Source organism: Homo sapiens, chromosome 10 (genome assembly GCF_000001405.40).
Source record: "Homo sapiens chromosome 10, GRCh38.p14 Primary Assembly".
NCBI classification, from domain to species: Eukaryota; Metazoa; Chordata; class Mammalia; order Primates; family Hominidae; genus Homo; species Homo sapiens.
Genome location: NC_000010.11, coordinates 62,061,924 through 62,085,317, shown reverse-complemented (window position 1 = coordinate 62,085,317; position 23,394 = coordinate 62,061,924). Strand labels below are relative to the sequence as shown.

General features: G+C 40.6%; 1 protein-coding gene across 2 annotated transcripts in view, besides 3 other annotated features; it reads right to left on the bottom strand.

Annotated features, from left to right (window-relative positions):
• Positions 1–23,394, bottom strand: part of ARID5B (AT-rich interaction domain 5B) — a 195,246-nt gene that overhangs the window by 11,627 nt on the left and 160,225 nt on the right. For both annotated transcript variants that reach the window (NM_032199.3, NM_001244638.2), the window contains one exon: positions 15,521–15,618. In NM_032199.3, coding sequence (NP_115575.1) covers positions 15,521–15,618 — 98 coding nt within the window. The remainder of the gene's footprint in view (positions 1–15,520; positions 15,619–23,394) is intronic.
• Positions 2,560–2,619: a silencer, noted in NCBI's record as "silent region_2395". NCBI's record gives its function as "represses an Ori minimal core promoter by ATAC-STARR-seq in GM12878 lymphoblastoid cells {active_cell/tissue: GM12878}" and the evidence as "EXISTENCE:reporter gene assay evidence [ECO:0000049][PMID:35858748]".
• Positions 5,005–5,054: an enhancer, noted in NCBI's record as "active region_3412". NCBI's record gives its function as "activates an Ori minimal core promoter by ATAC-STARR-seq in GM12878 lymphoblastoid cells {active_cell/tissue: GM12878}" and the evidence as "EXISTENCE:reporter gene assay evidence [ECO:0000049][PMID:35858748]".
• Positions 13,202–13,341: an enhancer, noted in NCBI's record as "active region_3411". NCBI's record gives its function as "activates an Ori minimal core promoter by ATAC-STARR-seq in GM12878 lymphoblastoid cells {active_cell/tissue: GM12878}" and the evidence as "EXISTENCE:reporter gene assay evidence [ECO:0000049][PMID:35858748]".

The following is a 23,394-nucleotide window of genomic DNA, read 5'->3' as shown; positions in this document are numbered from 1 at the left end:
GCAGTGTTCTAGGCACTGAGACACAGCCATGAACCAAACATTCAAAGCCTCTGAGCTCATGAAGCTTATATTCTAGTAGGTACTAGCATGTGCCAGGTACATTTAAAGATTATTTTATGTAAACTCCACAATATCCCTATGGAGTATTATTATTATTCTCTTTTTTAACATATGAGGCAATTGAGGCCTATAAAGGTTAAACAATTTGCCTGAGTCATACCATTTGTTAGAGGTGAGATCTGAACCTAGTGCTGCCCATCTGAAAACATTTTATTTTCATTCATGTCAAGATAGAGATGAAACATCTAAGATAAAAAGGTCAATGAGAGGCAAGCACAGCGTGGCCAAGAGACAGTTTAGTCTTATCCCACAGCTCTGAGTGGGGTAGGGGACTCCACTAGGAGTTCTGTTTTAGTGTGCTAAGTAAAAGACCGCCCCAGCGAGAAGGAAGGCAGACAGACTATGCAAGCCACAAAAACCAGAGGCCTGAAAATTTCAAGCATTTAAATTATATAACTTTTTAAACAAACTGCATAAAATTGCTCTAAAAAGAGAAACATCAAACAGCTCTAGTTTTAATCTGTTTTCCCTTTGCGACGTAGCTCTTTATCTGAAAGGGAAAAATAGCTGATGTAATTAAAAGGGATGGATTGCATTACAATCTCAGTTTCAACTTCAGTGATTAAAGTTTTTATAATGCATTTGGTATGATTAATGACTCACTGTGGGATTAATATAAGACTCAGCCTTAAAAATATGAACTTTAATACAGCAAACATAATTTGTTTTAAATAAGACAAGTTGACTCAATGAAGAAAATGTACTTGGCTTATAAACATCATAAGTCTGTTCAAATATTGGGGATCCTGATTATTTTTAAACTAAGATTCCCAGGCAAAAACTTCCTTGGTCTGGATATTGGTTTGCTATCCTAAAATTGGTTTCTATCTATGTTATTTGGATCTCAACTGCTTAACCATACACGATTGTTCAGGTTTGACAGTACGGATGTGGGGACATTTGTGATCCTAATATTTTGCTCTTTAATAAAATACCAATAAAACTATGGGAAAATCAGATCCCAATTTATAGCATATTAGAAACAAAATTCATTTACTGAGCATGCTTGGACAAGGTATGAGCAAGGAGGCGTGAATAATACTTTGGAGCCCTACATCTGGCAGTTGGCCAGCCATGAAGATCAACAGAGCCCATGGGGAATAGTTATCTTCAGATCCCATTACAAACTGAGTTTAAACATGTTACAGCTGCTAAAACTGGAAACTGCCCTCCCTATGTAGACTTACTAAAATAATATATGGCTGCCAAATACCTGCTTCCCACTGTAATATTACAGTTAATGTTTATATAATAAAAAGCATAACTAAGCACAAAGAGAAAAAAGCAATCCTGTTCATACTTGAATTTATTCTGTCTCATCTGTAAAGTCCCCAACATTCCCCCCAATTCCTTTTTTCTGCCTGGTTCTGCCAGGGACTTTATCCTCTTCAATATTGGCAGGTTGTGGATTTTTGTCTGGGAGCAAAATGCATTGAATATTTTAAACTGGAAAGATATTTTAAATTGACTTTAATGGAAACATATTTTATTGTTGGGACAGATAGGTTTGTTTTACTTTTGTTTTGTTGCCATGGGAACTCAAGGAACACTGTAGTCTGGGTATTCCAATGATAGCAATTTGCTGGTACCACCCTTCCCCCAGCTTCATTTTCTGATGGAGATGGTGACACCACGAGGGACCCTCTTTACTGAGAAGAATGACAGCATTACCTCTGAGTGTGGGAAGGAGGAGGAGGGAAAGCAGAGAATTGGGTGGGAGAGACACCCCATGGACGCCCAAGGACCCCTCACTCTGGGTTCTGAGAGCCCTGGGCCAACCTGGCTCTCTAGATGGGTGCTAAGGAGACTTTAATTTCCTTTTCTAATTTTGCAAGTTCACAAAGTAGGGCACCATTCTCATTTCGGTTCCTTTTTTTTTTTTTTCATTTTTTCTTTCATTTTTTTTTTTTTTTCTCCCCTTCACTCAACTCAGCAGCTGGCTGGCTGACAGCAGTAAAAAATACATTTCACTTTGCTGGTCAAAGGCCTAAAGCCAGAAGCAGGAAATCTGGAATTAAATGTTTCTTGTATCTGGAAAGAGGCATGACTAAGGTAAAACTGAATCCAAACACAAGCCCTACTTGTTCAAGGCTTCCAGAGAGAGTATATGAGAGTGTGTGAGTGTGTGAGAGAGTGTGTGTGTGTGTGTAAAGGTCAACCGAGTGTTTTTTCCCCCCCTTCTAAATCATTGAAAGATAATTATAGTGGCTTGGGGAAAAAAGCCTCCTAAAATAAAACAAGCAAGGCAGAAGCTAAAAGGAAGCAAGTAGAAATATGACCAGCTAAGCTTTGAAGAACAGGGCACGGTCTCGCACGGCACACAATCGCTGCTTCATATAGTGATTTCCGTTTGGTGCAATTTTCACTGAATGTTTTTTCAGTTATCCTGTCATGGTACAACACAATTACCCCACAGGATATGATCTTATCATATGATTATTAGAAGTTTTTACAGTACAAGAGGACAAAAGCTATTATAGGTTTCTGAACATTTAAACGTTCAACGTACATGTGGTACCATTAAAAACAGGTTAGCCTTAGATTAGGTCAACATTGCCCTATGTAGAAAGCTGAGTAGGTTTGTATTATATAAAGAATTTAGTAAAATGCACCATGCCTGCGCCTTGAGGTTGATTATTTCTCAAATATTTGTAGCACAGCAAAGATTTTATCAGTTTCTAAACTGTACAGATAAAAGCAAACATGCACTCCAGCCCCCAAGAATTCATTACACAGGAGAAATATTTTCAATGGACTGCAACTCTAAGAATGGGGGCTGGCTTTTAGGTGGGTGGAAGTAATGGGGAAGAGAAGCAATATATTCATTAGAAAATCCAGAGATTTTCCCCTTCCTGATCTACATCTAGTCTGGGGATTGAAAGCTGGACAGATAAATGGGCCTTTATTATTATCCAGATTTCACATTTCAGATTAGCAAAATGCTTATTTACGATGCGATTAATGGATCTGAAATAGGTAAGCCATTATGTATTAAAAAATAACATCTTTCCATAGGCATAAGATTTGTAGCAGCATGAGATTTTATTTTTCCCTAGGAATAATACAAGAATAACATTTTCCACCCCAAAGCAGAAACAGTAGGGGGGCCTTTTGCTATCACGGAGATTCTTATTAAATTCAGTCACTGTGAAAAGCAAGATTTTTTCCCCTCCTCATTCTTCTTTCTTAAAAAAAAAAAGACTTAAAATCAACCCAAGTTAAAATTAACAAGTCAATAGCATTATAACCTTGATTTGTTAGCATCTGAGCCACTAAATTATCATCATACATGAAATTGCTGGTTTGAAAAGATTTCGGCTTTGCTAAATCTCAAGTTAAATAATGGTGCTTAGTACACTAGGTTTTTAGATCTGCCTCATCTGATATTATGAAAAATTCAATACATTTCTCTACAGCAGAAGTCAGGGGTCAGCAAATCTATTACTGTAATGTAAGTAATCTGGCAACCTGCCAACTCTTTCTCCCTTTTATTATTTTTTTAAACACTAAGGCAGATAATTTTATATTTACAAAGTCTAAAATCCTCCAGGGCCTTGCCTCTCTTTCTCAACAAAAACCAGCAGCCTTGCATTAGAGAAGTGTGTATCACACATGTCCTCATCATTTGCATTTTGTACAAAAGAAGAAAAGACCCTTCATCTTTATTACACAACATTCCCCTCCCTTCCTCAGAAGCAGAGGAAAAATAATGTCAAATCTCATCTGAACCAGTAACCACTAATGTCTCCTGTATTGATTAATGCTTGCATGGAATGACTGAACTTTTGGGCCAAAATATTTAGCAAACAGTGCTTAATAGGAAAAACGAGAATCCATCTATTTACAGAGCTTGAAAAATGGTATTACAATAATGTCTGGAACTGATTGAATCCAGAGAGTGGGGGCAAGAAGTGGTGAACTTTTAGGGTTGTATTTGAATCCCAAAGTCACCCCAGTTACTGCATAGGCACTTTATGGTATCAAATCAGTGAGAAATTCCAGACCTAAAGGTTTGCTGGTGTCCTTGGAGCAGAATATTTTCTAGGGGCAGAGGGAAATAACATTGGTGCATGTCAGGTCAAAGATGCCACTACTGGCCAAGTGTGGTAGCTCACGCCTGTAATCCCAGCACTTTGGCAGGCGGAGGCAGTCGGATCACTTGGGGTCAGGAGTTCGAGACCAGCCCATCTCTACTAAAAATACAATAATTAGCCAGGCATGGTGGTACGTGCCTGTAATCCCAGCCACTTGGGAAACTGAGGCAGGAGAATTGCTTGAACCCCAGTGGCAGAAGCTGAAGTGAGCCGAGATCATGCCACTGCACTCCAGCCTGGGTGACAGAGTGAGACTCTGTCTCAAAAAAAGAAAAAAAAAAGGCACTACTATTCTAATACTATTAGGCTTTTTTTTTGTAGTAACAACGAAATGACATATTGGTTCAACTGGGACTTCAGACCTGATCTCACCCCAAATGGAGTCATTACACCTCTGAGTTGATTCCAGCCTTGATAAATTTCTACAGCTTGGCCAGACATTTCCCTTTGCAGCCAGAAATTAAAATATAACTTTACTGTGAAGTATGGGAAGGAATCTTTCACCAAATATGGAGCCAATAGAAGGTATATTTTTCCTTTCTGAAGATGAGGTACACATGCTTGTTACAGTTCCAATAAGCATAGAGAGTTTTTCTAATCTCACATACTGTTCACCTCTCAGGTGCTAGACCATGACCATAAAAGTGGAAGAAGAGCTTTTGGGGGTAGGGAACCAAATCAACAGCCAAATACACAAATGTGCTATGTAAATGAGCAGAGAAATGAGAATGTTTCCTCAGCGGGCACAACCCTGGTTGAGCACAGTAAAAGCTAAGCTCCATCTGAGAGAGATGTGAGCCACAGAAGATCTCCATTTTATGGTGTGAACTTGAGTGGAGCAGAAAAAATAGTGTGCCGAGTGTGACAAGCTCTCCCCATAACCAAGACAGGTGAGAAAGAGGCCTCCAGTGTCACCTCCCAACAGGCAAGGATGTGAACTGAAAGTCTGGGGCACCAAACCACGGAGTAAGAAGCCACGCTGACATGAAGAACGAGCCTATAGCGGGGCCCATCTGAGCCAACAAAATGGCGGCAGAGTGCAACACAGAGTCTGTGTGAAAGACTCAGTTTGCCCAAGAGCTACCAAAGCCAAACTGCCTTACATACTTTAAAAATGAGGTAGGTATAACTAGCATCACCTGTATTCTATGCTAAGACACCTAAAAGGTATGGAGTCCACTATTAACAACGATGAAATATAACCATTTGTCACCACAAAAGGTCTCTTTTCTGGGAAAATGATCTGCTCACAGGGGCTTCATTACCTACTCAATGGGCAGCAGATGGACAAGAAAACTTTTTGAAGGCTTTAATGCTCTCTCCATTTGCCCCTGGAAGTGGGTGGGAGAGTTGTTTCTTAGGCCCACTGATAATTCTGATACCTCCCTCCATGGTCCCGGAGTGTGTGTGACCCTAAATGAAGAGAAGAAAGAAAGGTACGTGGTACTGGACACAGCAAGGTGGTGGCTCGGCTCCCATAAAGATGTGTCAGTGTGAGAGAGTTAGCTCAAGGATGACAGCTTTCCTGAACTGGAGTTACATGGATTTCAGGGGACTGTGTTAGAAGCAAGGTGGGAAGGTAGAGAAACCTCATTCAGGTCATTCATATATATTGATTAGGCATTACAATATTAACAGCCACCACCACGCATTACATTCTTATTAATACCAGGCACTCTGCATGCTTTAATTTCAACCATTACAGAAAGAAATATCTACAGATATATTATTTTATCTCATTTTATGGATGACAAAACTGAGGTTCAGAGCTAAACGATTAAGTGACTAGTCAATGGCACACAGCTATTTAGTGTCAAAATTTTGAGTTCGACCACCAAACTGCCTGCCTCTGCTAGTCCAGCTATCTTCATCTCAAAAAGGTGGCTGTGCATCTTCATACACAGATGTATCAACACGGAGACATACCAACACGGAGGAGATACTGAAAGATCACTCCTGCCTGGGTTAAGTGAATTCCTAGCTCCTAAGGAGTTACCTGAGAAACTGGAGTGAGCATTCTCCTTTTCTCAGAGGCAACAGGCCTATAAAATACATATGTAGCCATTCCACAAAGGGTCAACCTCCTACATCAGAAGAAGCCCTATGGCTTGGGCACTGGGCAACTACTCTTACAATATGCTACAATAACCATGCCATAGCTCTTCAAAAGGTAGTGATACTAGTTGGATCATGCCCAACTTAATATCGGATGGTAAGAGAAACTTGAGAATCATATCCTCCATGAATTCCAGCCTCTAGGACTTAATCTTACCAAGCCCAAGCTTCCCATGGTCTCCCTAATAAAGCTCCTTTGGGGCTTTCTATGATGTCTCCATGCCACATGTAAGAGCATCTAGACTAATGTTGTTCCTATGCCTTTCAAATGACAACCACATTGAAGAAAGTTGGAATGGACTTAAGGAAGGCTGATGTTATGTCCCAGGGATTAAAATGCATGCTTATTACAGTGAACACAGACCATGCATGGTGCCTAGCCCTCTACAATGCCAGCCAGCAACAACTGCAGCAATGACTCTTCTCAATGAAAAAAGCCCAATGACTTCAGAATTGAGTTGTATGGATCCATTTCAAGGGCAGATGAACATTATTTCAAGAATAATAAACCCAATACTGTTTTGTTTTGAGACAGGGTCTCATGCAATCACGGCTTACTGCAGCCTTAACTTCCTGGACTCAGATGATCTTCCCACCTCAACTCCCTGAATAGATGGGACTACAGGTATGCGTCACTGCACGTGGCTATTTTTTTTATTTTTAGTAGAGATAGGGTATCACCATGTTGCCCAGGGTGGTCTCAAACTCCTGGGTACAAGCAATCCACCCACCTCGGCCTCCCAAAGTGCTGGGATTACAGGGTAAGCCACTATGCCCAGCCAACATGGCAGTGTTTTCAATGTGATGTGTACCCCACAAATGATGGAAGCCAGTGTCAAAATATAAAAATAGGCAAACAACTATTGCATTTAAGCCCCATGCATGTTAGATCCTACTGGTTCCAGAACTTCTGAAATGTTCAACAGTTCTCCCACAACATTTATTATTTTGGTCAAACTTTGTAGTAACTTACACAAAAACAAAATGTTCCAAGAGGTTTTCAGTGGAAGAGTTAAGAATATACTTTAATGGTAAACAATTACATTCTTCTGTCATATGATACTTTTTTTCCCTTTTCTTTTTTGGAAACATGCTTTCTGAATTTTCAATAGTTCCTTTGTGAAGGCATCTGTTACTCACATAACTGAAAAGATGTTTGTGCAGTGGCATGCTTGAGAGTACAGTTATTTAATCTTAATGATAAAACCCTGAGGACAGAAAATCACAAGTAGAAACCTTTTGTTATTTATCAAAAAGAAAAGGGCTAAGACACCTAATCTATTCTCAAATTTAAATTCATGCTTGATGAAAACTATCAATAAAACATGGGACCTGCAAGGTTTCTTAAATACTATAGTTAGGTTCAAAGGATGGGACAGAGGAAGTAGGATAAAAACAAAAATGAGACAATAAAGGAGCTCGACAAAGAAAAACTGCTGTTTGGCAAGCTTTTTTTTTGGGGGGGGTCAAACAAAGAACTCGCTGTAGTTTACAGCATGACATACACACTTGATTAGTTTGTGCCTGAGGGTGTTTTTACACTCAACAGTGTAAACTCTAACTTCTATTAATTACAACTTGCATTTAGAGGCAAATTTAAGAATTTTTAAATAGAGATTTTTTTCAAAGGCTGTTGTTTATTTTTTTAAAATAGAAACCAGTTTTTCTACTCCAGGGTCTGGCTAGAGTTTTGTTTTCCTTTCTAAAAGTTTCTTGAAATATCCAGGCATTGGAAAGTTATCAGAGCATTTTAGGCATGCTGAGTGATACAGACTATGCGGCTCTTGTGTATGAAATTACCTGACTGTCCTTTGGAGAGAAATTCTTTACAGATGACAAGATGAAGCTACTCTGGGTGTAGGGTGTTTGCATTGAACTGACTCAGAGCCCTGTAAGAACAAGCTTGGTGGAGTGTAGATGGAAGAGAAGCTGTACAACCTCAGTCAGCCTAACTCTGGGCAACTTGTTTTCAGTTTCCTGGGCTTCTGGTTGTTGATAGGGCTAGGATGCCCTCTGTGGGTTTAGGGAGATGAGAGTGGCAGGGTGGCCGTGTTGCAGAGGTAAGCCCAATAGGGGCCACAGGTCAGGACTGCCATGAGAAAGACAGTGTTGGGAAAGGAAATGCAAGTCCATTGACTGGGTAACCTTACCATGGATGAGGATGGGCAGAGTCTACCCACCGCACCTTAGGATAATAGTTCATAGACATGAGAGGATAAACTACACTACCTGCCTTTGGGGTATGTGACTTGGAAATTCAGCCTTAGGACTTTCCTGACAGCCCCTACCTTTTTATACACATTTTCCAGAGGGGACTTTGCTCATTTCAGTTGAAATTTCTCTCTTCCTTCTTTGATCCCTGTTGAACTTATTTTTTTTAATTACATAAAACTAGTTTTTATAGATGTAGTTTTTTTTTTTTTTTTTGAGACAGAGTCTCGCTCTGTAGCCCAGACCGGAGTGCGGTGGCGTGATCTCGGCTCACTGCAACCCTCCACTTCCCATATTCAGCCATCCCGTGATTCATCCCGTGATTCTCGTGCCTCAGACATCTGAGTAGTCAGGATTACAGGTGTGTGCCACCAGCCCCAGCTAATTGTTGTATTTTTTAGTAGAGGCAGGGTTTTACCATGTTGGCCAGGCTGGTTTCGAACTCCTGGGTCTCAAGTCATCTGCCCGCCTCGGCCTCCCAAAGTGCTGGGATTATAGGCGTGAGCCACCATGCCCACCACAGACATAGATATAACTCTCTTCCATGTGTGTACGGCCTTTGACTCAGATCTTGTGATGGGTTAGATAAACCAAGGATCATGGCATCTTCCAGTTCTAATGAGTCGTGGTGGCTCCCTGGGGATGCCATACTGAGAAGAATTCTGAGGCTGAACCCGGGCTCACCGGAAGCAGCATCCTGTTCCTTTAGCAATCTCAGCTATGAATGTGGTGGCAAGGGTACCTCCTCATTGTTTGCCAGCCAATTCTCAACTCTTTGCTTTATATGTTCTCATTACCCCTGAGAGTGCTCTCTGCACATGGCAGATGTCCAAAAAACACCGATTGGGTTTTGAGGGCAGCAGTAAATAAAAAAGACAGTTAATCAAATGGCAAATCTATCCTATCCAAGAAAATGCAACAGGCCAGTAGGAGAGGGCTTCTTGCCCATTCCAAATGTAATCTTAGGCTGTGTTGATAGACTGACACTGCCCGCATCCTGAGAAATACTACATGCCACATCTGGAGTAGCTTTGGGTATTCTGAGTGACACAAACTGGAGGCGCCTGCATGAGAGCAAGCCGAGCTGGTGAAGGTCCATTACTGACGCTCTGAGGCTTGGTTGAATGGAACAGGAAGACCTGAAGTGAAAGAGGAGCTTTGACAAGCTCCTGGACGCTGATCAGAGCAAAGGGAGCAGACATGTGGCGAGTCGTCCTCCGAAGGCAAGGCAAGGTCAATGGGAAGCCACAGAGGGTGTTTTGCTCAGCACACGGAAGAGTGTGTAGAGCAGAGTAAGAGCGCCTGGAACCCTGAAGCTTCCTCTAGGCCCTCCCACTGCAGGGCGCTGTATCAGAGGCTGGAGAGCCTAGTGTCAAGCATATTTCAGTCTTTGTGGAACTTGGCATCCTGTAGGCTATATTTTGCCCCTGGGCATGTTTGATTTAGCTTATATAAAATATTTTTTTAAATATTGGAGCCAGTGTTTGTAAGTTAGGTTATTTCACATTAAAAAAATATCTTGAAAACATAGAAGGTCAGGAAGCGCACAGACGGCATCTACCTACAGCAACAGTGTGGGCTGGTCCCTTTGGGCTCTCTGGCCCGGGCTGTGCGTGCCAGTTTCACACTTTCCAGCCGTGGCCCCTGCACTCATCTTTGCTACCTGCCTCCATAAATATCTGAGTTTGTGGCCAAGATGTAGGAGCGGACCTTCTCCACTGACCTGGGTGAAAGACGAGTTTTCTAAATTTCCCATCTGATGCTGACTGATGCTTTTGTAAACAACCATAAAAATGAATTACTAGAAAAATGGAATTCAAAAGGAGGCATACAAAACACAAGCCCCAAGTTTTTATTAGCTTCAACAGACATAATGTTATTCTGGCAAATTTCAGCGTAAGTGTATCAATGCTTATTCGCAATTGCTGTGCTTATTAGCTTGTTATGGGCTAGTAGAAAACAGTTCATGGACAAGTCAGAAAATCTCATTTGAGTAGCACTGGTCTAGGGAGTTGCTAGGGGTCCTCTTAAATATACAATTCTGAGATGTGGCCTGTGACTTTCTGAATTGCGTATCTATTAACTCCAAGGGTGTCCAAATGAGCAAGAATACATGGAATCATGTCCTTGATGTGCACAGAACTGTAACTCACCTTTCCTTCCCCAGCCTTTATCCATGGTATGATTAGGTGGGTTCCTTAGAACCTGATATATTTTTGGTCCTTAACTTAAAGCACATGCTTATCTTATTCAAAACATGAAGCCTCCCACACTCTACCTTATACCTTCAGAGAAAAAAGGCAGAAGCTCCAGCTATCACCCAGTATCTGCCCAAGTACATCTGGCTTGGGTACAGCTCACCTTAAGTCCCTGCAAAGAAAGCTGCCTCAGCCATGCAGGGTGACAATCTTGTCCAAGGAATGCTTATGGTAAAAGCAAAAGGTTGGATTTGAAATTAGGCATTATGTGTGCAAGAAGATGAAGAATAGTTGCTAATTTCCCTCACAAACAAATACATTTGTTTATGATTTTGATTTTCTAAATACTCAAAAATGCACATCATAAAGTACTTTTGCTTTAATGCTCCTTTTAAAATCCCTAATAACAACTTCATGTGCTCCACAGAAACAGACCATGTAATTTATTCAGGAAAATTAAAACCAGTAATCTAGCATTCTGAGTAAAGATTTTTTTCCCCCTGCATGGACTTTAAAAACATTTTTTAAAAAGGGAAATCTGCATGTGAAAACAAAGCCTTTAAAGTGATTTACTATTCCAGAAAATCAAGCTAAGAGAATTCCATAAAAGTAGTCGTTTTCCTTTTTGTTCCTTTACTGATAAAAATAAAGTGAACTGGTTACTTTTAAGTAAAGAGTTAGACAAGAAAGAAAATGTTCCACTTAGAAAGAATGAGGTGGGTATTTTTCTTTGCATCAAAAGCTACAGTAACTTCATCTATAAATCCTGAGCAAGAAATGTCCAGAATAACCACATTTCATAAGCTTTGCTGAGTTTGAGACATCTACATAGCAACAGCCTTGCGATGGGAAAACATTAATGCTTTTTATATTGGTAATCATCTGTAACATGAGCAATTAAGTACAGTACTAATGGACTATGGCCAGGAGCCTGGTACTAATATTAAAAACTGACAGAGATGAATAGATTTGGAAGCAAAACCCGGCTGACAAAGACATTTTTATGAAGTGCTTGGACCTATTTGATTTAAACCAATCAGAGGCAAGTTTGTACGAGTCAGGCCTTCAGTGACAATGATGTATTCACAAGCATTGTACCATTTCTGCTTTGCCTTAAATAAAAACACCCATTGATTCTTTTCAACAACCCACACTTTCATTATTGCACTCATTAATAAACCAAAAGTGCTCAACTAATATACAAGTAACATTTTACTGAGGAACTGGCTACATTTTTCTTGTTGTAAAATGAAAACGTTTACTGGAAACATGAACCACAGTGCATGAAAAATAAATCAGTGGATAATGCATAGAGATCACTCACTTCTTCATCTTCTAGGAAAGCAAAGCTGGTGGCAGGGAAATAGGAAAAAGAGCAGTTCTCTTTATCGGAGTGAAAAGAATGAGAACAGAAGAACCCGCAGCCTAGTAGGAAGAGCTCTCATCATCCTGATTTGGTTTGGAAGGCTTTACAAAATTCCAAGGGCATTTCCAGACTAGATATTTGCCCACAAAGTCCTGACCATTCTCAACTCATTGACCCTTCTTGAAAACAGTGTTCCTTCACCAATCCAGTCATCTCTGTTTTATCTGTTCATGCAACCTGTGACTAGCAAGAATGAATGAAATCCACCATAATCATGAAGTTTTAGCCCAGAGCTTCAGTCTCTTCTTGGATATATGTGCATGTCCTCTGCCCTTCTTTGGTAGAACCAATTAAAAGGAAGACATCTAGAACGGTAATCCTAGCTTTTTCTCCCCACCACAACACATAGGATTATGGGTGATTCCTCTTGGAGAATGATTGATTGAACATTGAGAGAGGCACTGTTGTAAATAAAATCAATGATCTTCAAATTTTGGTAGTTAGCGGTTGCATCTGATCACAAGGATGTGAGAGGAGTCTAGATGGCAAAAAGGAAATACCAAGGAAAGGTAAAGGACCTTGCTAATCACCCTGGGACAGCTATGCTCCAACAACACAGTTGGAGGCTCCACACTGCCAATTTTTGGTGTTGCCACACATAAAATGGGCTCTGCATATGGGGTTCCCACTTGGCGGATGGCCTATTGTCTTTCAACTCCAAATCCACCCTTCTGTACTCTGCTTGCTGATGCTAGGACTGGAATTCTGTAAATTACACATCCCTTTTGTCAGCTATCTTCCTGTTACTATTCTGCAAACAGTGTGTCCTGGGAGGCAGGGAGAGAAAAGGAATCTCCTTTCCATTTCACTTGTTCACATAAGTGTCAACTCCACAATGCATTAACAGCAGCAGTGGGTTGCAGCCTCTAGTTTCAACAGTCCCCCAGCAGTTTCAGCGCGTGTCCTCTGAGGTCTGGCAGCAGCCAGGGAGCACCGCCTCCTCAGGTTTCAGCCCAGCTCTGCAGTGCTCCACCTCTGAGCTCCCGAAGCATCAGTGCTGGTTGGGTGACTCCTTCTTACCAGGGACCTGAACCCCAGCTCTGAGGCACATTCTCCAAACTTCTGGGTGGTGACAACCAACCTCTCTTCTCTGTTCTGTCACCCTAGGGAACTTACAGTTGTTGCCCCCGTGTTAACTTAGTGCCTCACACCAACCCCTGTTTAAGCAACTGCCTATGGTGAAGTCTCTTTGTTGAATACCCAGTGTGGTTTCCATTTTCCTTACTGCACCCTGACTCATACACTGACCAAATTCTGGATTTGGAAAAGTGACACCACTCTTCAAAAAGTTTAATCGAGTGAGAAAGCAAACCTTTATGGAATATCCAATCTGGTCCCAAGAATAGGGAGAGAAGAGAAAAATTTTAAGACATCTTTAATCATGTTTCTTAATTGCTAAAGTTTGTGGTATATCTACTAAAATTTTCTAATGTGATTGAAAGCTTTCAGGAATCTCCTGAAAGAAGTAAATAATCAAAAGTACACAATCTTCAGAAGAATCCTACTTTTATTCACAGACCTGCTCAATCACACACACACACACTACTATGGGTTGAGTCCTTCTCTCCATGCCAAACCTTCTCTCTTTTTTTTTTTTTTACCATGTGATACTTTGTAATTAATTTGATTGATGTTTTCATTCTTTAACTAGATGAGCTAACAGCTGAGATACACTCCTTTTTCAAGCTTTAATTGCTATCTGCTCCTTTATGTTTGATGGTTCAGGTGTTGAGGGCATTTGCATATAAAGGACAGGGATGTCCACTCTCAAAACAGAATCTATTTGAAAACAGGGACAGAGTTTCTAGTAAAAATGTTCTGGCTGGGTGTGGTGGCTCACGCCTGTAATCCCAGCACTTTGGGAGGCCGAAGTGGGTGGATCATGAGGTCAAGAGATCGAGACCATCCTGGCCAACATGGTGAAACCCCGTCTCTACTAAAAATACAAAAATTAGCTGGGCGTGGTAGCACGTGCCTGTAGTCCCAGTTACTTGGGAGACTGAGTCAGGAGAATCGCTTGAACCTGGGAGGCAGAGGTTGCAGTGGGCCGAGATCATGCCACTGCACTGTAGCCTGGTGACAGAGGAAGACTCCGTCTCAAAAAAAAAAAAAAAAAAAAAAAAGTTCTGAATGAAGCCTTGACTCATAAGTCAAAAACAAGTAGCCTGTGGTTCCTTAGACATTATTTTCGGAACACTCACCTGAGATATCAGTGCTACTTTGTACTAGGACATCAGTGGTGTACCTTATACATACAGTGAGAATGGGTGAGTTTTTGTATTAAACACTGACAGAAATAACATATTTTAAAAATTGATGTGTTGTATTGAAAAACAATGCTATAAAGAGTAATAATTTGAACATCTATTATCAATTTTTAAAAATCCTTCTGAATTACAACCCTGCCAAGTAAGGCAATCCTTTGGGAATACTTTGTAGCAATTTTTCATGGTGTACTAAACCCAATTCAATTTATTATTACAAAAACATTCTTGTTGAACGGCCATACTAAAGCTGAGTTAAATGCAATACAGATAAAAGTAAAATTGAACTTGGAAAAAAAGGACTAAGAATTGATGAGTTAAATGGTATTGCCTGAGGATGTACGTATAAGACCCAAAGGGAAATGCCAGTTATAAGGAAGTTGGTAATGACCTAAACAAATTAAGTATGGGCTTGAAGCATAGAGGGATAATGCATTAATCTGCTAACTGGTCTTTAACGGTGTGAATAATGGAGTCCTAATGCAAACGGGAAATCCACTCCTGTGGATGCAACATAGTAGGCTAATTTTGCATTACTTCTTGTTTGCATCCTCATCATCTTTCTGAAATAGGCTGAAATTGTTAGAAAACCAAGCCACACAGAGCTTGGTAAGAAGATTCCGTAGAAGAAAAATACCAGGATGAAATAAAACAACAGATTTGATCTGGGGCCATTTCTCTTACTATGAGAAATCCTTACTTTTCAATGCTAATATTATGAGAAGTGCTTACTTTTCAATGTCAACCTCAGAGTAGCATTGCAGATTTTTCAGAAGCTAAAGGTTCTCATGTTAAGAGAGCCTAAAGAGAACATCCTGAGTAATCTATGCTTGTGGGGAAAAAAAAAAAAGGCATTGTCAGGCAGGTGGTCACATGACAGAACCAAACTAAAAGAACATCTAATTTTAGCCCCTGTAACAAGAGAAAGCCATGTTCCCTAAAAATCACAAGGCGGTATGCAAAGTAAAATGCCAGAGGGAAATTTTCAGTTTCCCAAAAGGTCATTTAGACTTCCTCTGTCTTATCCTTGACCAGAAGCTCCTTTCAATTAACACACTTTTAACTAAGCAATTCCATGAAATGGTTTCTTACCTTTCATAATGTCTGCGGGTACAAGTGGCAGCGCTGGTGCTCCCAGGATTACCGCCTAATTCATCATAAATATGTTTCCACTGACGGCGGGCTGTTATCTGAAAAAATGGCAATGGGAAATTCAATCTTACATCATAAGAGATTCATAGTGCCAGGCTTCAATACATATGCAACAGTCAGAAGAGAACAGTCTGTTCTGGAAACCCAGAAACAGAGAAGTCCAAAAGAGTATATGGGGTGATTTATGGTTTCATAGTGAGATCTCGCTTTCAGCACTCTTCTTTACAATAAAAATGGAATTCTACTTTTGGATGTGTATTTTGTCATCCTAAGTGCGTTTCATTTAAGACACCTCCCTGGATATTCATGTAGGTTTGTCAAGGACTCATACTCATACCCTGTTCCTTTAAGTCATTTGATAAAGCATCAAAATAAAATCAGGTTTTAGCTGAAATATATCTTAGTTCAACAGTTTAGATGAATCAACATTAACATTGCCTGAGGCATGTGGAAATGGGGAACCGGGTATAGAGGTAAAAAAGAGTCTTTTACCAAACATGCTTTTGTATCTTCTGATTTTCCATCCATGAGATGTGTTGCCAATTTAAAAAATAAATAAAATTACTACACAGATTAAGTTAAATGATCAAATTGGTTGTGGAATTTATAGTCATTTCAGGCTATATTTTTATGCCAGCTTCTCTAACCACCAAAACAAAACCAAAATCTGAAACTGTATATGTTGCAAGCTGTTTATTTTTATTCACTTAGGTCAAGAAAATGGGATATTGATCAAATCATATGAAAACTAACATATTCCACAGTTAAAATGCTAGCTACGTACATTATTGAGTTGAGTGAATAAAAACAAACAGCTTGTAATATACTGAGCTGCACACTATGGTCTTGTTTAATTTTTTCCTTTAATTTTATTTTTGTACAAAAATTAAGATTTTACAAAATAACAGATGCAAGATCTGGCAAATGATTAATTTGGGGAAACCATGTCATTTACTACATCCAAGTAAGTCTAGTATTTCCTTGAAATTTGGAAGACAGAACAAGTTCTGCGGCCCTCGTGAACATTTCTCAACAGGGTTACGGGAAAACTCTGTTATTTGAATGTGTAGGGGACAGGGCGTGGCAAAGGTGCCAGTGGAATTTAATACAGTCAAGCAGGAGGCTTCTTTTGAAAAATACCCACGAGGCTGCCAGCGGAGTTCACCAAGGGGCTAAAGGCAGCAATCAAATGAAAAAAAAAAAAATTAAAAAACCTCAACTTGCAACCGGGGCTCTGTAATTGTAAATCTGAGGAGGAGGAGGTGGCTGGTTAAATATTATGGGGTAAATGGTACCTTTTCTATTTCAAATAGAAAGAACCCCTTCATTTTCATAAACCCTTCTCAACAGGCCCAAATAGGACCTCGAGACAATGTTAGCTGTGCATCATTCAATTTCCCATGAAGCATTCTTGCACCAATCGGTTTCAATAGTTCTCACTAGACAGAACCACCTCTTACATCTACTAGCAGGTGTAACTGAAAATAAAATCCTCCTTATTTACAGTTTGTTTTAGATTACAAGAAATGGTTTCAACGCCCTTTCAAAACACTCAAAATATGTATTTTGATAATTATTTTATATTTAGTTACAATCTGCCTCCAACCTTTAAATGATATAATCTTGGGCTAATCTGAGGCCCACATATCAAGGGAGAAGAAACAGGATACCTCCAAGTGCCTACACGATTCCTCAAAGACCCTAGAATACCCCTTGAAACACACCTCCAGATTCCCCTCACTCAGATGAGACCTGTGGGCCCTGGGGGTGACAACAGGGTTAGAAAACAGCCTGTGTGTGGCCCTGTAATCACTTAAGAAACCATCACTCTGATCATCCTTGTGTCTCCTGTGTACACTGTCTATTTTATAAAGGATTTTCGCATCCATGACATCATATAATCCTCCCATAGCCTGTGAGGCAGGTTATAGGAAATCTCATTCACAGAAGAAGGGAGATTCAGAGAGGCTGCACACTTGCCCAATGACACACAGCAGCAGAGTACCAAAACTAGGATCCATATGGTTGTCTTCTGGTCTCAAGAGTGGACTTCTTTTCACTGCATAAAGCAGCTTCCACATCAGAATGACCTGAGAATAGCCCATGCTTGTAACAAGTTGGTAACACAGAACTCTGGGAGCCTTTTCCTTCAAATGAGGCAGGTAACTGTGGGAATCACTGTTTCTGCTGTGAGTTCTCAACCTTTAGCTTTGAGTCTTTCCCAATGGGGAAATCTAGCTAAGAGGACAGCATCAATTTAAGGTAGTGGGTTGAATTAACAGTGCTCTGAGGTTTTACTCTCAAAGCATAAAGTCCACCCTAACCACTTGTATCTCTAGTTAGAACAGAAGTTCTGGCCGGGCATGGTGGCTCACGCCTATAACCCCAGCACTTTGGGAGGCCGAGGCGGGCGGATCACCTGAGGTTGGGAGTTCAAGACCAGCCTGACCAACATGGAGAAACCCCGTCTCTACTAAAAATACAAAATCAGCCGGGGTGGTGGCGCATGCCTGTAATCCCAGCTACTCGGGATGCTGAGGCAGGAGAATTGCTTGAACCGGGAGGCAGAGGTTGCGGTGAGCTGAGATCGCGCCATTGCACTCCAGCCTGGGCAACAAGAGCAAAACTCCGTCTCAAAAAAAAAAAAGAAGTTCTATATTAAGTTCACCACCGAGTCACAAATAAGTCTCAATTATATCAGAATCCATCCAGTCACTCATCCGTTAATTCACCAAAAATTTATTGGACATCGCCCATTTATTAGGCACTGTGCTAACAAATGTTACAGCTGGGATGCAACAATGAAAAGCAGACCAGCATGCAAGACCACTGTATTCTAGTAGGGGATACCCACAATCAACGAGTGAACACATATATCAATAAAATAATATAAATTGTGAAAACTGATGAGCAAGAAAGCCGGGGATATTTAGGGTGTGAAACTGACCACGCCTCCCTCCCCATCCTACCATCTAAACGAGGGAATGCCCTATGATACACTTGTCTATCAGAGAAAAGAAAAGACCCTTTAGGAATAAATAATGCATTATCACAGGAGGGAAAAATAATCTATCTCATACTAGGTTTGAAACGGTAGCCACAGGAAGCCAACATCAAGCACCGCTGGGCATTAATAAGCTGTGTGCAGTAGGCCAGGGGTCTGTGTCAGCCCCCTAGCACTTAGTAAGTTCTGGTGTTTAAATACAGTTTTTACCAGTGAGGATCATCTGGAGTGAAGACAGGTCTGGCCCTTCGAGGAAGTGGTTCCTCTATTTACTGAGCTTCCACTGAATGGCCTGGATGAATTGGGCCATTTTGAGATATTTTCTTTCCATGGGAAAGTCATAAAATGTGCCCTTCACAACTGTTAAATGCTGTTAAGTACACAGGTCTCCTAGGCACACATCTCTGTTTTTTTGGTCTCTAGATGTAATTCAAACACTAGCCATGGACTCTAGAGGAAGAAATGTCTAAATTCTCCCATTGTCCAAACACATGATGGGTCTCAGAGCCCAATAAGGAGAGAGAACAGGGCAGGGAAACATCTCCCGGCTTCATGTAAATCCGCCTTCTGTATTAACATGCTTTAATTGTGCCTAATTATGTACTTGCTTATAGTTTTTATTCTGTTGTCCAATGTCCTCTCTCGATGTGGGTAAGCTTTAAAATTCCATCTGGAATAAAACCAACGTCTGCCTCCTAGTGTCTAGTACCCAGCCTCAATCAGCTGGAAAATTTGATCTAATCAAGGGGCTAGTTTGATCAACTCTCTCACTAAGCCTCAGGCCTCCTGGTTATAATTTGTGTTTCAACCTGACCTTCTATTATATTAGCTTTTTAGGGGAACAGAGAACTTCTGGCTCTTTGTTTCCTTTTTTTTTTTTTTTTTTTTGAGACAGAGTCTCACTCTGTCGCCCAGGCTGGAGTGCAGTGGCGCGATCTCGGCTCACTACAAGCTCCGCCTTCCAGGTTCACGCTATCCTCCTGCCTCAGCCTCCTGAGTAGCTGGGACCACAGGTGACTGCCACCATGCCTGGCTAATTTTTTTGTATTTTTAGTAGAGACGGGATTTCACCGTGTTAGCCAGGATGGTCTCGATCTCCTGACCTCGTGATCCGCCCATCTTGGCCTCCCAAAGTGCTGGGATTACAGGCGTGAGCCACCGTGCCTGGCCTGGCTCTTTGTTTCCTAAAGAAAATAGCCAAATTCATCCACACAGTTATTTCTTTTGAGCTGTGCCTCCTCTTCAAGGTCCGCAATTAGATGACAGATTCACATCACCATCCACCAATGCTTACCATTTTCGGGCACTATGCCTGTGCAGAGATATGGAAGTGAAAGGAAGGAAGGGAGGGAGGGTAGAGTGTGAGATGGTGTCACGAAAAGAAAGAGATGTTACTGCTTTCAAGGTTCATAATTTAGTGGGAAGCATAACTTCACACAATTAACCATAACGCAAGATGAAAAACTGAGCAGACTACACCCAGGTAAAACAAACCAATCTAGGTGCATGTGAGATTTAATCTCACTTTGAAGACATTTGAAAGTTATTTCTCCCTAGTGTAGGTAAGACCCAAGAGACTCTGTGAAAAGCACTCCACACCTACTATGTTCATAAAATTTTCATTGCTTACAAATATAGTGGGTTTCAAACCGTCTTTAGAGGACGGGCATGGTGACTCACGCCTGTAATCCCAGCACTTTGGGAGGCTGAGACGGGTGGATCATCTGAGGTCAGGAGTTCGAGACCAGCCTGGCCAACATGGTGAAACTTTGTCTCTACTAAAAACACAAAAACTAGCCAGGCGTGGCAGTGGGTGCCTGTAATCCCAGCTACTCAGGAGGCTGAGGCAGAAGAATCACTGGAATATGGGAGGCGGAGGATGCAGTGAGCCAAGATCATGCCACTGCACTCCAGCCTGGGTAACACAGAGAGGGACTCCGCCTCAAACAAAACAAAACAAAAACAAACAAAAAACCAACAAAAAAAATAAATTGTCTTTAGAACCCAGGTAGCGTTTTAAAGGTAGCCTGAAAGTAACTCTCCACACTGCCCACCTGGTCAAGAAGACTGGTCTGGTGAGTGGAAAAATAATCTGTCCCTTCCACAGTTTTATTGGATGAAAATATCCTGTCACTTAAAAAAAGTGGAAAATCACTATTTTAGCTCAAGACATGCTCTTGGAGCCTTGATTTCTCTATCTTTGAGGCTGCAGGAATGAAATAATTCTGGTATTTTTGCAGCCTGGTGAGGAAATAGGTATCAGAAATCTTTCAGACTTAAACTCTTTCAGTGGCTTAAGAATGTGTAGGAAATACGAAGTCAACAGAAGAGTTTGCCTGAAAGCAATGTTGCCTGGGCTGTTCTGAGAAACAGCTTCTTTCTCAGGACACCTTGAGGGTGGACTGAATTCAAGGAAGATGACTTTCTTTTCCTGGTAGTACTCCAGGAACTGGAGCCTTTCAAAACTACATGACATCATCTTTGGCCTGGAGAATTTTGAATTTAAGCGAGAGGCTTTGCCTGTTCAGAAAACTAGGGTTAGATTCAGAGGATGTCTTAAAAATGATGTCAAAGCCAGAATTTGATGTCAAAGCCTAATCCTTTCAGCAAGGAAAGAGGCTTCTTCCAGATGAAGAACAATGGCCCTGTCTCACTGGTGGCAGGAGAAAGGGTTGCTAACTGACATTCTTAGAAGGCACCACTGTGTATCACCCTGTGCCTTGAGGACAAGATGTACTCAAGACCCATTTCCCAACTCTACCTTCTCTCCAGATACTGCCTCTGGCTTGCCATCAAGTGGTTAGCCAAATGGAAATCACTTTAGCAAACCACCGCCATATGCTGCATCCTGGTAATACCCCAAGCTACTCTTCCAGCATTAATTGCTTCACCAGACACTGAAGTGAAAGCCTTTTTAGTTCATCAGCAAAGATTTATCCAGCTCTACCTCTTCAAATGTAGGTGATCCACATTCTAATGTTTGGAAGGAAAAGTTGGGTACATTGCAAAGGAAGGGTCCTCGTCAATTAATCAAAATGCCAGAATATTGTTTTGTAGGAAATCAAATCCATTCAATATATTTATGCTCTCTCAACCTAAGGATGAAGAAACACTCTATACATTTCCAGCAAAGGCAGAAGAGACTGAGAGAACTGCATATAGCCATTAGTCAAATGCTATAAAGGCTTACAATGAAACTTCTGCTCCTCTTTTTTTTTTTTTTAATTCAATTTGATGGTTGTAGAGGACTGAAATGAAATAATCCATAATCCGCAATTCAAACCAGAAGGTTTGGAATAGTTTATAACCACAAACAAAAACAAGCCAATTAAGATGGCCTCTTTTTATAACCAGAAGGGATTCCAGAGAGATGTCTTTATCCAATCACAAGTTAACCGCAGAAGCAATACATCTACAGCTTTTATACTTGCAGTTTTTTACTATTATTGAATATTTACATTATCCATACTTCTTGACTCATCTCCTGAATTCACACATTTTGTTCTCAAGAGTCAGATAAAAATCTCAGCTAGTAATTAGTACATCTGGTAAAGCTCATGTTAGATACAAAAAACAGACTAAAAGAAGCTACAAATGTTAAATACAAAGAAGAGACTAAAAGATGCTACAAAACAGACTAAAAGATGCTACAAAAGGCAGGTTATCAGATCCTTTCCCCAAAACATTGCCCCAAATATGTAGGAGGCATTTTAGATTAGTGATTGCTAGGAATGGAAAGCCACAAAGAATAATCATTTATAAATCTCTTTCAGCAACGCTACAGAGGGTGAGACAATTGTGTACCAAATTCTCAGTGAGTCAGAATTTGAAGAAAGCCATGATGATCCCATGCAACTCATTTCATCTCCCAGTGCCTCAGTTTTCTCGCTTGTAAAATGAGGCTATGAACTGGGGCACAGCAGGCATACTTTTTTTTTTTTTTTTTTTTTTTTTGCACAAAGGCCAATTTGAGAAAAAATAATTTGAGAGTACTACAGTTCTACACTTCCCCTCATTGAAAACAAAAATAGTTTACTGAGTTCCAACTTAGACTACCATTTTACCAAATGCAAAAATACTTGTCAGAAACTCTCTGCTGCTCTTGAGCCGAAGGAATATGAGTATTCTACCCTGTTTCTGTAGTAATGGCATGAAGAAAAATCTTTGATACTTGACTTAGATAGGGGTCACACTCTGAAGCTAAGAGCCATGGGAAACACTTGGCTAAGTGTTACTTATCACTGTTATCACTGGATTTGAATTAACATCACCTGGGCAGCTTAAAAGAAAAGGATTCTCTGCTTCTCAGGCCCATGCCCCACCACAGTTTATATCTTGGGGTGGGGGTCTAAACAACCACTTAAAGTTCCCCATTAAAAACATGAGCCCTATTCTTGAGTAGCTTTTAGGAGCCACTGATCTAGAAGACTCTAAGATCTCTTTTGAGTTCTAAATGACTACAAGTCTACACTCGTTTCTGATATCAGATCATGTCAAAGATAAGTGTCCTCTAGTAACTCTGTGATGACAGCTTAAGCCTTCAGACTTTGGATATTATTTGTACATCTCCTGGACTGACTTCAAAATTCAATGCCCATTGAACATCTCACAGTTTTATTAGTCAAAATATGCCAAGAGAAAAATGTATTCTGTACTTATAGGAGGTTCAGAAGCTTAAATGTAGAATAGTGGTGGCAAACTGAAGTATCTGCAGGGCCAATCTATAGCATGAAACATTTAAAAAGAAAGAAAGAAAAAGGAAGAAGGAAGGAAGGAAATGAGGAAGGGATGAAGCAGAAATGCCTTTTAA